Consider the following 14345-nt stretch of genomic DNA (forward strand, 5'->3'; position numbering starts at 1 on the left):
CACAGATTCTGAACAATTTTTTTCTAAACCAAGTCTTGACCCTAATTTGCCAAGTGACCCTAGACAAGAATGTCAACCACTATGGAAACTACTTGTCCGTGAGGAACTCACTCCACCAACCCCAGTCTAGAGAAGGAAGGCTCAGAGATCCTTCCTGAACCAGAGACCTGAGGTTGCTGAGCTGAGCAGTATACCAGATTTCTCAGGTGGGCGCATCTGATGGAAGGGTCCCGAGTGGCTTCAGCCAAAGCCACTGTTCTCAGTGAGCTCCAGGGCCCATTCTTCACTAGCTTAGGATGTTTATGGACTTCTGTGAAACTCAGAACCAATGATGGTGAAGGAGGCGCATGACTTGATGACAGAGCAGAACACAGATAGAGACCGACACCTTTATTTTACATTCCATGTTTAAATGAGGTCATGCAGTTTTCGTCTTTCTGGGTCTGGCTTATTTCACTTAGTATAATGTCCTCCATGTTCCAGGCCCCTCCACATTGTCTAACCACACACACATGCACACAGGAATTGTAACTATGGGAAGTGATAGATGTGTTAATTAGCTTGATTGTGGTGATTATTTCACAGGCATACATATACTGAATCATCGAGTCATACTCTTTCGATGTAAGCAATACAATTTTTAAAAAGAGCCCAGTGTCTCTTACTTTCATTTATTACTTATTAATTTAGTTTGTTTGTTTTGTTTTGTTTTAAGACAGAGTCTTGCTCTGTCACTCAGGCTGGAATGCAGTGGTGCGATCTCAGCTCACCGCAACCTCTGCCTCCAGAGTTCAAGCGATCCTCCTGCCTCAGCCTCCAGAGTAGCTGGAATTACAGCCACCCACCACCACGCCCGGCAAATTTTTGTATTTTTAGTAGAGATGGGGTTTTGCCATGTTGGCTAGACTGGTCTCAAACTCCTGACCTCAAGTAATCTGCCTGCCTCAGCCTCCCAAAGTGCTGGGATTACAGGTGTGAGCCATCACACCTGACCTATTTATTAAATTTTAATTAAAATTAAAATTTTATTAAATTAAAGGAACCTTTGGAATCGCCTGAGGAAAACAATTACATACTGCTGTATACACATGTACACAGAATAGTTTGCTTGTAATGGTAACAATTGCTATTATTTTCCCAACTTAAATGTAAAATTTCCTCCAAATTAATCAAAGATATTTATCAGCTGCCTTCTATATGCATAATATTATGTACAGAGTAGTCTACACTCAGGTCTTCATAATTTAGAAACTGCAAAATAATGCTCTATACTGTAAAACTGCTCATACCACAGAGACTTATTACATTTCCCTTCTTCCTTCTTTCCTCTCTCCTCTTCTTCTGCTGTCCTTCCTTTCCTTACTCCCTCCCTTCCTTTCCTCTTTCCTTCCTCACTCCCTTGATCTTTTCCTTCTTTCCTTCTTCCTTCATTTATTTCTTCCAACAATGCAGTGCCCTAAATGCTCTTCCCTGAACGTTTGTCCAGGCGCTGTACTCTCCACAGGGCTTCAAAAAAGAGAGAAATTAACACAGGGCGTGCGTGTCTCTGAGGCTGAGGACACAGGGGCCTGGGAGGGTCATTGAGGAAGACACTCACCAACATTTCTGTCTAATTTTAACTGGCCAAGTTTCACATTCAGTTCAGTTTCTATCATTTAATTTTTCCTCAAAGGGTTTGATTTCAGTCCTCCACTGCGAGTTTTAGCCAGGAGCATGACTTTTGAGAGTCATTTAGAACACAGCTGTGCCTTGTAGCACAAAAGGGAGTGGAATCTTGATCTCACACGCATTTGCACAGCTTAGTGTATGTAAGGGAGACGGTTTAGTCATTTGCTTTGAGCCAAAATGGACAGAACACACTTGAAAGTCACTTTCAGACTTCCCTGCGGATTCCCTGTGGCATCTGCACTATCGAGTTACTGTAGCTGTCTACACTACTACTAATAATTATTATAATTATAACTGTTTCCAAATCCTGACACCTACATATGTTGCATGCTGTGCTCACAATTTCCACACAACATCCCTGTGTAATGTACATTGTTCAAACCATTTTATAGACTTGGAAACTGAGCCTCCTGGAAATAAACAACATCACTGGGTTCCTATACTAGTTGGAACCAGAATCCAAGCTCAGCCTTGTGTACCCCTTGTTGGGCAGCTGGGCCAGGCCCCCTCTGTCAATCCAGGTACACAGATAAATGGCCAATCCCTTTGCTGGGGCCCAGAACACACTGACTCCTCTGCAAATGTTCACCTTTGAAAGGGCTTTGGTGAAGATCAGCCAGCCTGTGCCTCACCAGCCTGGGCATCTTCTGACGCATCAGTTGACAGAGAAAAAGAACTCAAATAAGGAATTCAAGGAAATCACTGATTTATTATTTATCACAAATGGCCTAACACAATGACTTTCTAATCTGACAGCTGGGACTTTTGATGGCAATCAACAATTTAATTTATTTCTAAATTTAGATTTTTCCTTTTTCTGCATCAAACACCAAAGCTGGCTAAAAATAGTCACACAGTGAATGTTAGAGGGGAGAATTTTACCTCTTATGTTTCTTTCTTTCTTTTTTTTTAATGTCAAAGTTAAAGTCAAAACAAAATTAATCAGGAGGGGTTATCTATAATGAATCACCATGCAGCTCAGGAGGAAAGGGTCTAGGGGGAAGATATCTTTGCCAGCAGCCAAAGGAATGTTCTTTCAAAGAGTCACATTAGACTATAAGCTCCATGAGAAAGATTGCAGATCTTCCATATTCAGCAGCATGAATCAAAACTCTTCAGCTCTAGTCTAACTTTCTTTTTTTATTATATAGCAGTGGGGGTTGGGGTTTGTATGGGCTGTGATTTAAATGGTTAATTGAAAGGAAGCCGTGGTGAGCTGTTTCTGGCTACAATATTACGCTACAATCTTATCTGAGCTTACAGAGTTATTTCCAATTTGTAAATGCTGTATGCATTTCTACCAGATAAAACACTTAAAAATCCCAGACCTGAGTAAAGTGACCCTGCTGTTCTAGAGCCTTCCTCACCTGCCCTTTTCTGCCTCTCTACCTCCTCCTGTTCTGATGCCCCCCACCGCAACCCCCACCCCACTCCTCCTCTTTCCTGTCTCTGCTGGGAAGTCAGGTCACTACTCAAGCCTCCCCCTTAGGCAAATAAACTTAGTCATAAAGTGGTGGAATGAAGTGTAGTCTTGCCTGTAAGACTCATTGGACAGAGGAGAAAACTGAGGGTCAGAGAGGGCCAGTGACTCACTGAGGTCTTGTAATGAGAGAGTAACATTGTTGGGACCAGAATTCAGGCTCTGTCCCTCCTAAGTCCAAAGTCCTTTGGGTGGCATAGAAATCCCCAGAGAAATTGCCCGCCATGACATTCAATAAGAGGTTACATAAATTACATGTTGGAGAACCAGGCCCATTCGCCCCAGTTTCCTGGCTACATCAATGTGATTTCACAATTCCAGGAAATCCTTGCTTGGGAAGAAAAAAGTTGTAAACACCTTTATTATTTATTCTACAAACTTCCAAGAAAACCCATGTAAAAGAACAACAAGCTATTCTAACTCTTCAATAAGTAGTGGTAAACTTGGAGTTTACACCCCACAACTCTTTGAAAATTTTCACCTCAAAATCTTCACCTTGCTACACCCACGACCAATCTTTAACTATTATCTCTGGACCCACTTTGATTCCTAATGAGAGAATCATACTGTAAGGCCCGCCTCAAACCAGCCACTAGAATTTCATCAATATCCAGTAAGACTCTAAGATCGTGCTTTCTGTGAGAGTCACTTGGTGTTGTCTTGTGGACAGGTTGTGTTTGAGGAGCTGGCATTCGACATGGGTAGAATATGGCACCATGTATGTGTAGTGATGAAAGGATGAAAGGTCTGGATGATGAGCAACAGGAGAACTGCCAAGATGCAGCAGGAGGAAGTCTCCATAAAGCGGGCAGTCTCACTTCCAGAGCCACGCCCTAAGTCCTGACAGAGGGCAGACATGGCAGCTCTGGTAGAGAGAGGCGGTCCTTGCCCTCAGGGGCTCACAGCTCAGTGGTCCCTAGGACTCTTCAACACACAGCAGTAATGCCTCATGCCACATGGGGCATTTGTGAAGAGGGAGATGGTAGACCCAGAGGAGGGGTAGGTAAATTCTTCCTGTTAGATTGGTAAATGCTCTTTGTCAGGTGATTTGACCCAACGAGGAGCATCTAGAATGAGAAGCTGGGAATGGCCTTCCAGGAACCGTGGCATAAGCTGCTTTGGGATCAAGTGTCTGCGGGACAGTCTAGGCACTGCTGTGTTCTGACTGACTGGATGTAGGGAAGTGCCTTAACCTCAGACATGTCAATATCTTCATCTGTGAAAAAGGAAAAATAATAATAGTACCCACCACAGCAGATACAGTGGCTCAAACATGCGAAGCACCGAAGAAAGCCTCGGTAGGGTAAAATACATTATCTTAGGAGTTTCAATGTGATCCTAACAGCCTTCTGATTAAAGACCACAATCCAATGGCTACCCTCTCATTAGAAAATCAAGCATGGATTTCAGAGATCAAGTTCTTTCTGCCCCTAGCCGGCTGGGTAGAAATGACCCTGTCTTTTCTCTGTCTGAACCCGTTTCCTTGTCTAAAAGGTGAGTGCAGGGGACATAATGACCTCCAAAGGACTCAGTGGTCTCTCAATGCTGTCCCTAAAGCCCCACACCTCTGTAGCCCATCACCCGCCTCATCTTCTGGGAACATCACCTTTGCAAATTCATCTCTTGCCTGCGATATGAGGAATATCTCCAGCTTTGTTTCTCTATTATAATAGATGTAAATTAATGTTTTGCCTTTGTTTGCCGCGGTAATCATAGAGGCAAGTGTATATTCCTAACAGCTATCTTATTTTCAATTTGCAAAGCATACTGTGCTTAATCCCACGAGCCAGATCGTGGCTCCAGATATGAATTTTAAAAGATAATTAGCCCAGTGCAGGAGGTGCTCTCTGAGACAAGGAGCATGCACCAAAGCCTGGTCAGAGGGGTCCTTTGGGGGACCCTGTTGGGTCACAGATTCTCCCCCAACCCCCCGTGGTTTATTACTTTTTTTTCATCACTGCTGCCTTTGTGAGAATCAGATGATTTGTTCATGAAAATTTAAATCATGTTCATACTAGAAGCTGAAATTTCTTTTTGGGGTTGTTATTTGAGGATTCTCCCACCACCCTCCACCAATATTTTTTTATGATATTCATGGCAGGTGACAATTTATTTTCTGTTCAGTTATTTTTTTCTTTGTAACTCTAACTGAAAGAAAACACGAGGTCTGTGGTGGTTGTTTGTAATGTTGATGCCTATGGCAGATTAAGTGACCATCCATTAGAAAAAGCCACAGAAGGCCCTGGGTCCAAAAGATGAATGCCCTTCCCAGCTTCAACCATGGACTCTGCCTGCAAGAACTTTACCCCCAGCAGGAAGTCAGTTATGAAAACAAGCACACATTTCAACGGGCTGAAGAAACATGCCGGTTTGCCTGTATCACAGGACATTAGCCGACCGTTCATTGCACCCAGGGCTGGCTTTGCTTTTGCTTGGCTGTCGAGTTGACACATGCACATGAGTGGAACCTCTGTGCCCAGCACGGTGCTGGGACTGGGGGGATGCACAGGTGAGCAGGTGCAGCCCACGCTGTCAGGAATGCCCTGAGAGCCTGGCAACACTCCCGGGACTCAAGAAGGCAGGTGGGATAAGAGCTACAAGAGAGGTGCTAATGGTACCACTGTTATCATCAAAGAGGGTAGAGTAGATTTCCCCTCACTGCGCATCTGGGACACCTTACTGGAGGAGGTGGCATTTGAGCTCGTTTTGATGAGATAGCATATATTTTAATCAAATCATGTGTACCTGAATCAGGTAACTTATATTTTGATATTATGAATCAGGTAACTTATATTTTGATATTATGATCCCTCCAGGAAAATAAAAACTAGAAGATGGTAATAGCTCACATTTATGGAAGGCGACCTATACAGCAAGCTTTTCACATCATGTCCTACGTATCTCATGAGGATGCTGAGATGCTCAGGGGCTCTGAAACATACCCGAGGGTTCACAGTGAGAGGGTGGCAGAGTTGGAATTTGAATCCTGGTAGGTTTGTTCCCAAAGAGAACCTGGCATATTGGATTATAGGGGCTATTCCTGCCTGACAGATCGGACAGGTAGTGGAAGGAGAAATGCAGCTCAGAGCCCCATTTAGGAGGCTGGTTGACTGCATCATAAGACACCCTCTGCTGAGGCTTGAAATGCATTGTTCAAAACAGTTTACAGCCAATTTTGGTTTGCCTCTGATAGAAGGAGCTGAACACAATTTTGATTATTTGCTTTAATTCAAATCAGGTTAACAAAATCAGTATATTAGTGCAATTTAAGGACCTTTTTCCCCCTTTATTACATAAGCTAGTGGACTTCCCATCTGATGTATGAAATGTCACTTTGTCTTTAATTCTTGACGTTCACAAACACTGGTGCTACTGGAAAAGGAGTGGGAGTGAGCGTATGTGTGTGTGTGTGTGTGTGTGCATGTGCATGTATGTATATACACATATATATGAGAGTGAAAACCAAACTGAGGTTTCAGATGGACTTTAGAAGGATTGAGCAGGTTTTGAAATGCGTCCTGACTTGTCATTGGCATTTGTCATATTATCACATGCTTGGAGGTTTTCTCCTGGGCATTTCTGCATTTTTATCTAATGTGGTCACACAGGGTGTTTGCTATTTCAATGAACATAAAAATATTTTATATAAACTATTTACCAAGGCTCTCTAGAAAGGAGAAAAAAGATAGTTCTAGAGTGTCTTAGAATATCTCTTCCCTCTAGCTAGGTCCAGAAACGCTAGTGTCCTTGCCAGGCATATTTCCTTAGAATAAAAATGATGGACTAAAGTTGGGACCATTTCATATATAAAACTTGAACTATTAAAAAGCCTCTTGTTCAGAGACTTGTTCTCTTACATTTAAATATACTTTAGTATTCCAGAAAAAAAAATGCTTAGACCCAATGAGAGAATACATACAGTGCTACCAAAAAAAATCAAGTCATAAAGTGAAGAATCAGCCTCCAATTGGTGAAATCCTGTCTTGGTGCTACAAAAAATGATATGTCTTTACTTAACGGAGTTTTATGGGGACTAACAAGGTAACTCCATAAGACAGAAAGAAGTTTCATTAATTATAGTCTGATAAAAGAGAGCTTTGTTATCAAGAGTGCATTTCTTGCGCTAGGCGTTCATTTCTCAAACAACATTGGCTTTCTTGTATATCATGGTGTTTAAAGGGAGGAGTGAACAATTGACCTAGAGATGAGCTCTTTGAAAAGTTCTGTTTTGCGTGATATGAATGTAAAAGAGTGGAGCATGAGCTATGAAAGAATTTCCAATAATCTCTCCTTGAGGACAGACAGATATTGAATGATGTGATGAGTGAGGCTATGGAACTAGGACCTCTGCCTTTTTTCACCCCTCCACTTGGGCTGGGGAAGCACAGTTACTCAGAAAAAAGTTAATTCAAAATATTTTCAAAGGTTCTTTCCTTACAATCAAAACACTGTTGTCTGTGGCAAATGGCACACCCACCTGCCCCCAGGAAAAGAAGCTACATGACTCCTGGGGAGATTTCTTCTGGGATCCTTTCCTGCAAACCTGCAACACCCATGAGCACCCATGAACTCTGCAATTCTGTGACTTTCCCCACCTGTTTCATAAGAAGGCAAACTAGGGCTAAGACCACATGTAGTCACAAAACCAGACCTGTTTCCTGCCCTCGTTCTTCCCCTCCTCCACCTTGGATGGATTTTCATACAACTTTGATGAAAATAACTAGGAGGATATAAAGATCTCTGTGGGGAGATCCTTTTGGGAAGTCCAACATCCCTGGACAGCTGAGGATCCTGGATTTCTTGGTGGACACGCCAACCCAGGAGTCCACTGTGGGGTGGAGTCACGGCTGGAGCCCAGGCGTGCTGTGTGGATTAAATGAGTTAATGTCTGGGAAGTGCTCAGAAGGGAGAGTTCTGAACACAGAGAAAACATGTTACTATCATTGTTATTTGAAAGGAATTGGAGGTCAATTATTTGCTACCCTACATTAGATGAATCTTTATTTTATCACCTCTCTTACCACAAAAAGTGTTCTCTTCCTTGAAAAATGTCTTTTTTTTCCTAATTTGCCTTGAAGTCAAATCCTAGCAAAACCAAGCAGTTGTTATTAATAGCTACATAAACACCGGAAAATAGGTCGGCACCCTCTTTTTCTCCCAGAAAGACATTGGCTAATACAATCTAGCCCCTGATTGATTTGTTTGTTTGTTTGTTTCACCTAGATATGTTCAGTAAACAAGGGAGAAAATAAGAGTCTATCAAAGCTGAACTTCTCTATTCTTGAGCTATCAGCCTTTTGCTTTGCTTTCCCCAACAATAAATAAAAGAACGTATTGAATATTTTAAGGGGTGTTCTTGGGACAAAAACAGTCTCATGCACACAAAAAGTCAGCCTTTATCTGCTGTGATCTTGGGAAGTCCAGCACACTAGCCTGGAAGTTTGTCAGAGACTCTGAGCATCCTAAAATCAGGAAATTTGTCTTCTTCATCAATGTAACCCCAACACCTAGCAGTAGGAAGTTTCCATTGCTGGTAAAAATAGGCTCACATGCTGTGAGGTATAAATGGTCATTTAAAAGGTAAGTTAATTTGAAGAACAAGACCGAGTCCCCAGATCCATTTAATTTTTAATTTTTGGCAGTGTTTCCCAAGAACCAGGCCACTGGTTGAATGATTAAATTCTTGCTCATCTTGGAGGGAAAAAAGATACATTGCTGTGGACTTTTCAGAAGACTAAATTTGTTATTTGCAACCCTTGGCCTTCTTTTTGATATTATCTCTTTGAGACCTAATATTGGTGGGTTCACATGCCTTGCTCTTTCACCATTATAGAACTGGGTTTTTCTTCTTCTGCTGTCTATTTAATTTAATTCTCAACCTTGAGCCTTAATGGAAAGAGAACATTTTTCTCTTCATAGACACAGTCTGCCAGCCTTTTCCTGCTCGTTGTCCCTCGAAAATAAGTCAGTAGACTCTCATTTAAGTGGTTATCCACCAAGGAGTTCATTTACTAAAACATTGCATGGACAAATGGAGGACAGTGACAAAGTTCTATCCATGTTCTGTGGCTTCTGTCTTTCATAGGCGATTCTCTGATGCACTCTGGCAATACTGCCTGTCTACTTTGATTCCTAAACCTGCTGCTCATGAATTAATCTCTTGCTGTTGTTCTTCTGGGTAGGACTGAGCTTCTAATCTGGGCAGAATCCCAAGTCCTTCTGGCCTTGGGGGAATTATTTACCCTGTTATGGACCTTTCTTCTCAGGGACTCTGTCATAAGAACCTCTGTCAATAAGCTTTTCACAGGAAGGCCCTCTTGAAGGCCACACCCTGGCACCCTTGTTCTGATGAACTGTCTCCTGTGGCCTCTCACCCACAGTATTTCCTGACCTGTTCCTGGTCTCAAATTCTCAACCCCTACTTGCTAAGAACTGATGGAATGGAGACAGAAGGGGAATAAGACATGGCCCTTGCTGTGGAGGGGTGTGAGGGAGTGTTTACTGGGTGATTCAAAGCTTATTTTGGTAAATGGCCACAGGAGTACTCACCACTTCTCCTGTGCGGCAGGCATCTGGCACCTAAGGATGTCCAGGCTTAGGAAAATTCAGGGAGAAATGTGAGGTAAAATTGCTCCAAGTATATCTTTTCTTTTAAGAGTGCGATAACAAAAATAGAGGCACACATAAAAGGATAAAGAAAAAATGAAAACAAGCAGTGAAAGACAACATCCGCTCTCATTTCAGTTTCCTGGAAGCGGAATGTGGTTGGGCAGATGGTGTTCTTTTGTTTCACTAGAAGAAACGGTAAGGTGTAAATACACATGATACACACAGCAGTGAGGATGGAGAAGGGGCTCGACTCTAGGTGCTCGGTAATTTCTAGGTGGGTGGGAGGTTTTCTTCGTTAGGTTAGGTTGGTCCTGCCTACTGAGATCCGAAGATACTGCCTTCGACCTGACAGCTTCCAAATGGGGACCACAAGCTCTCTAATGTTCCATAAATGGGCTACCAGGAAGTCTGTGAACACCCTTACTTTTTTTTTCTGCAAAATGTTGTAGGTTTGTGCATTTTCTTAGAGGAGTTTTTTGTGTTTCACAAGATTAGCAGAAGATTCAATGGCCATTGGCTTCTTGTGTCTTCATGCCTTTTCAGTTTGCTTCGGTAAAGTTAGTTGCATGTGACTATATGAAGTTGCTTAATATAATTGCCCATATTTGCATTATATTGGAGACTTTTCAAAGCTTTCTCACATATAAGCAACCCCTTTGACTCAGTAACAGGAGCTGTTACCAGTAGCCCATCTTACAGCTAAGGAAATGAAACTTACAGCCATGACTTGACTGGCTTATGGCCACACTCATGTCCTGTCAGGACAGAGGTAGGACAGACACTCCTGCCTCCTGATACTTTCTGGTTTGGTGCTCCTCTTACTTACTGCTCTTGCTCTCATTTTTTCTGCCAAAATTGCCATCAGTATCAGTGAGGAGTAGGAAGAATTTGAGTCTAAAACATGCATGAAGTGAAGAGAAAATTGATAAGAAAATAAGTCAATGTGTCTCATTCTGGTTAATTATACCCATGTTTGACTACCTCTGAGGTTATTTTGAAGCAGAAATAATGTTATTTACCTCTGCATTTTCAGTACCTAAACAATGCCTCCTGGAGCATAGTAGATGCTCAATTATTTGAGGTGTGCATAAGTGATTCAAAGTATGAAGAAAGAATCAGATGCCCAAGGCGTATGTTGCCTGGTTTCCAGATACCTGCCCATCATGGATTCTCAAATGGGCCTTGTCTGAAGTCTCTAAGATGGCCCTATGTCATTACAGGATGATAGGGAAGTTTGCCAGAAGACTTTTGATCAATGAATGATAAAGTCCATTGATAAAGCTTTTATCTCCCGTGGTCTTATGTAAGAGGTGTCCACGTCATCCCATCTGGATACAGCTTTTGAATTATCCCTCTAGGGTATTAGGAGGTCTAGTGAACTGTGCACTTCATCAAATAACTTGCTCTTAAATAAGTCACACACTCCCAGGTGCAAAAGATAGGAAGATCTCTTTTCTCAAATAGAAGCCGGAAAGCAACTACCCGATTCCAATAACCAAAGGGTGGATAAGATGAAGCTATAAAACTTGCTCAAAAGAGCTCTTGCGAGTAAGAGGTTGAGAAGGGGAGAAGTTACAGTGATTCTAGTAATTCAAGATTCTAAACAAAACAGGACTTAGAGAAATGGCAGTGACAGTTGCCACTAGTAGTGTGGTATTAATCTTAGTCTGACCCCTGGATCCAGCAGAAATCCCAGCTGAGCTTCCAATTTTTATGTAAATGGGAGAGTCAACTGTACACATTTAAGAGATGTTTGTGAAAATAAATATTTGTTTTTATGATTAATCTTGGCATTACATGATATGGAATAAAATTCTAGAACTGAAACTCCCATTGAGAATATTGAACATTCTAGAGGTAACTCTTTCTTCTACAATTGATCAGCATAGATCTTTCACCCCAGCATCAATCAATCATCAAGATAGAGTCATCTCTATTACCTTTGGGGCAAATTTCCCTGGGCGTGGGACACACTTTTCTAAATTTTTAAATGTGTGAAGCAAGCTAAAAGACATAGTTAGGCAGAATTGGATTTTGCTGAAAAGCCTCCACCTGTTTTTTTTAAAAAAGGAAACTTCCAAGATTGTAGAATTATATCCATCGCCTCAGAAATGTTGGGATCTGAAGGTAGCATACCAATGTGTGTATAGAGCTAGTTGATACCAATAAACATTGGCATTAGGAGAACATGTATTGTCTAAATTTCTCCCCTTTCTGAGGGACAACTATTTTTCTTGGCAGATTGGCAAGATAATCCCAAAGACAAATCCAGTGCACCTTCCCCACACCCTGGCCCATAAACATAAAGGGATAGAGTCTAGGACCAGGTCAAGATGAAGATTTCAAAATAAAATTCTTAGAGACCCAGCATTCTGGAAACTAGAGAACATCATGGCTGGGAAGGGGGCATAGATGGGCACACCTTATACTATGACAGAGACAGGCTCTCAAAATGGAATGGGGATGGCATTTCAGTAAATGCCCATCACCTAAGACAGAGATAGTCTCCCCAAATTTTGCACCCTTAATATCGCATTCACTCCTGAGACCAACACAGTAAACTAGGTATAGGAAATATGTTTGCCTCTACTGTACAGAAAGGAAACTGAGGTACATTCACCCATTCTTGTTGACTGCCTATATACACAAGGCTCTTTCCAAACTACATAGGTGAGCAATGACTTATAGCTTCCTAAATTGGTTGCCTGATATAAGTGTTAAAGACCATTTTATGTTCATTCTACAGACAATGAATATCAAACATTTCTCTGGTCTTGACCAAAATTTCATATTTTTTTTCCCCGAAAATATCAATATGAGTTAGAAAATAGGCTCTAGAGCTTTGGCTTAATCCCAGTCACCAACTCTGAACCTGTTTCCTCATCTTTAAATTAGACTAATAAGATCTCTCTTGCATCACTTAGAAGTCTTTGGGGTCATTAAAGTTAATACTGAATCCTATTTCAATTGTACATGTATTTATTAAATACCTACTCTATGCCAGGAACCATACTGGACACTGAGAGGACAATGATGAATAAGACCCACTTACTCACTCTTCCTCCTAGTGAAGCTCATAGTCTAATGGCAAACGCAGACATTGAACATAGACCGACATGCATAAGGCATGCAGTGGAAGGGAAAGCATGGAATGGGATGGGAGCCATCGCAGGAAGTGTAAAGAGAATATTAACTATATTGGGAAGATGAGGCTGCAAGCTTTCCATGAAGAAAGTGAAAGAAGTGAAATGTAAGCTAAAACATTCGTATACAGGAACAGAAAGCCCTACTTTTATTATAGTATGTGCTAGTATTAGTCTTCCACAGTATTGGTGTTCTATTAGTAGAAAGATCTGTGCTATCTCTGTGTCCTGTTCCGGCAGCACTCTGAGCATCCTCCAACATGGGAGAGTGAGGAAGCCGCATACTGTCAGATCTCAATGCCACAGTGTCATAGATGTCTATGATTTGAGGAACTCAGTCAGGGTGGCCGGTTGAATGGCTGTGGATGGAACCACCAACTCCTGATTGGCATTCTCCCTGCTGCACTTCTGAAAGGAAGGAAGAAAAGAAAATCTTGCAGGCACCCACACATCCAAAAGGAAAAAAAAAAAAAACATGTCAGTTGTACCCACTCATGTCATGTCTGCTTAGTGACAGGCAGAAGTACGCCCACTCCTGGTGGCCCAAACTCCAGAAGGAAAGTCATGTTGGAGCTGCCCACACTCTCAAGGATGACATGGGAGCTGGGTCAGCAGGCAAGTCATCTCCAGCATCTCAAAGGGCTGGGGAAAGAGGGAGGGCCTAAGTCAGGTGTAATGGGCCAGTGTTCACCTCTTCTTCTAGACTAGGAGAGCCTTGAGGTCAGGGATGACCAGGACTGAGTCTGGGAAACTGATAAAGAAAGATATGTTTATAAGAATCACTGGGAATAATTAGAAGGGCTTCCTGTTGCATGGCTGCCTTAGGACTGTGAAGCTAACATAAATGCTGGAAGACTCGCTGAGCAAGAGAAAAAGAAGAGCCCCATTCTGAGGTTCAATTCAGCACTGCAGTCTCTTGCCTATCTAAAGAATCACAGAAAGCCTGATCTCTCCATGAAAATTCACTTCTCCCATAAAGAGTTCAACCCCTCAACTCCCCAAAACACCATTAAGATCAAATCACTGGGAAATCTTTTATCTGCCATTCAGAATTCAGCAAAAGAAGCTTGGAAATCTGCTTATAGACATACCACAACTGACTAAGCCAAACATGGGTGAATGCAGAAAACAAGGGATCCATTCGTTGAAGGATTACCCAGGCCTTTAGTTGCCATCTTTGCAAGCATCCTTGATACCTCTCCAAAGCCTTGAACTATCAACTAAAGACCAAGAAAGTCTACAAAATCACCAAGGATCCTGATGGTGCATGTAATTGCTCTAAGAAGCTGGACCGAGAGGAGCAGTGACATTTGAAGTAGTATAGAGCTAAAAGAAATGACTTGTTTCCTCTTTGGTTTATAATCTTTGTGAGTTTTTTAGAGAATAATTGAAGGGGATAACATATTATCTATTCACATAGATAAGAATGGGTAGATAAATAGTTG

The sequence above is a fragment of the Homo sapiens genome, chromosome 14 (assembly GCF_000001405.40).
Source record: "Homo sapiens chromosome 14, GRCh38.p14 Primary Assembly".
Classification (NCBI taxonomy): domain Eukaryota; kingdom Metazoa; phylum Chordata; class Mammalia; order Primates; family Hominidae; genus Homo; species Homo sapiens.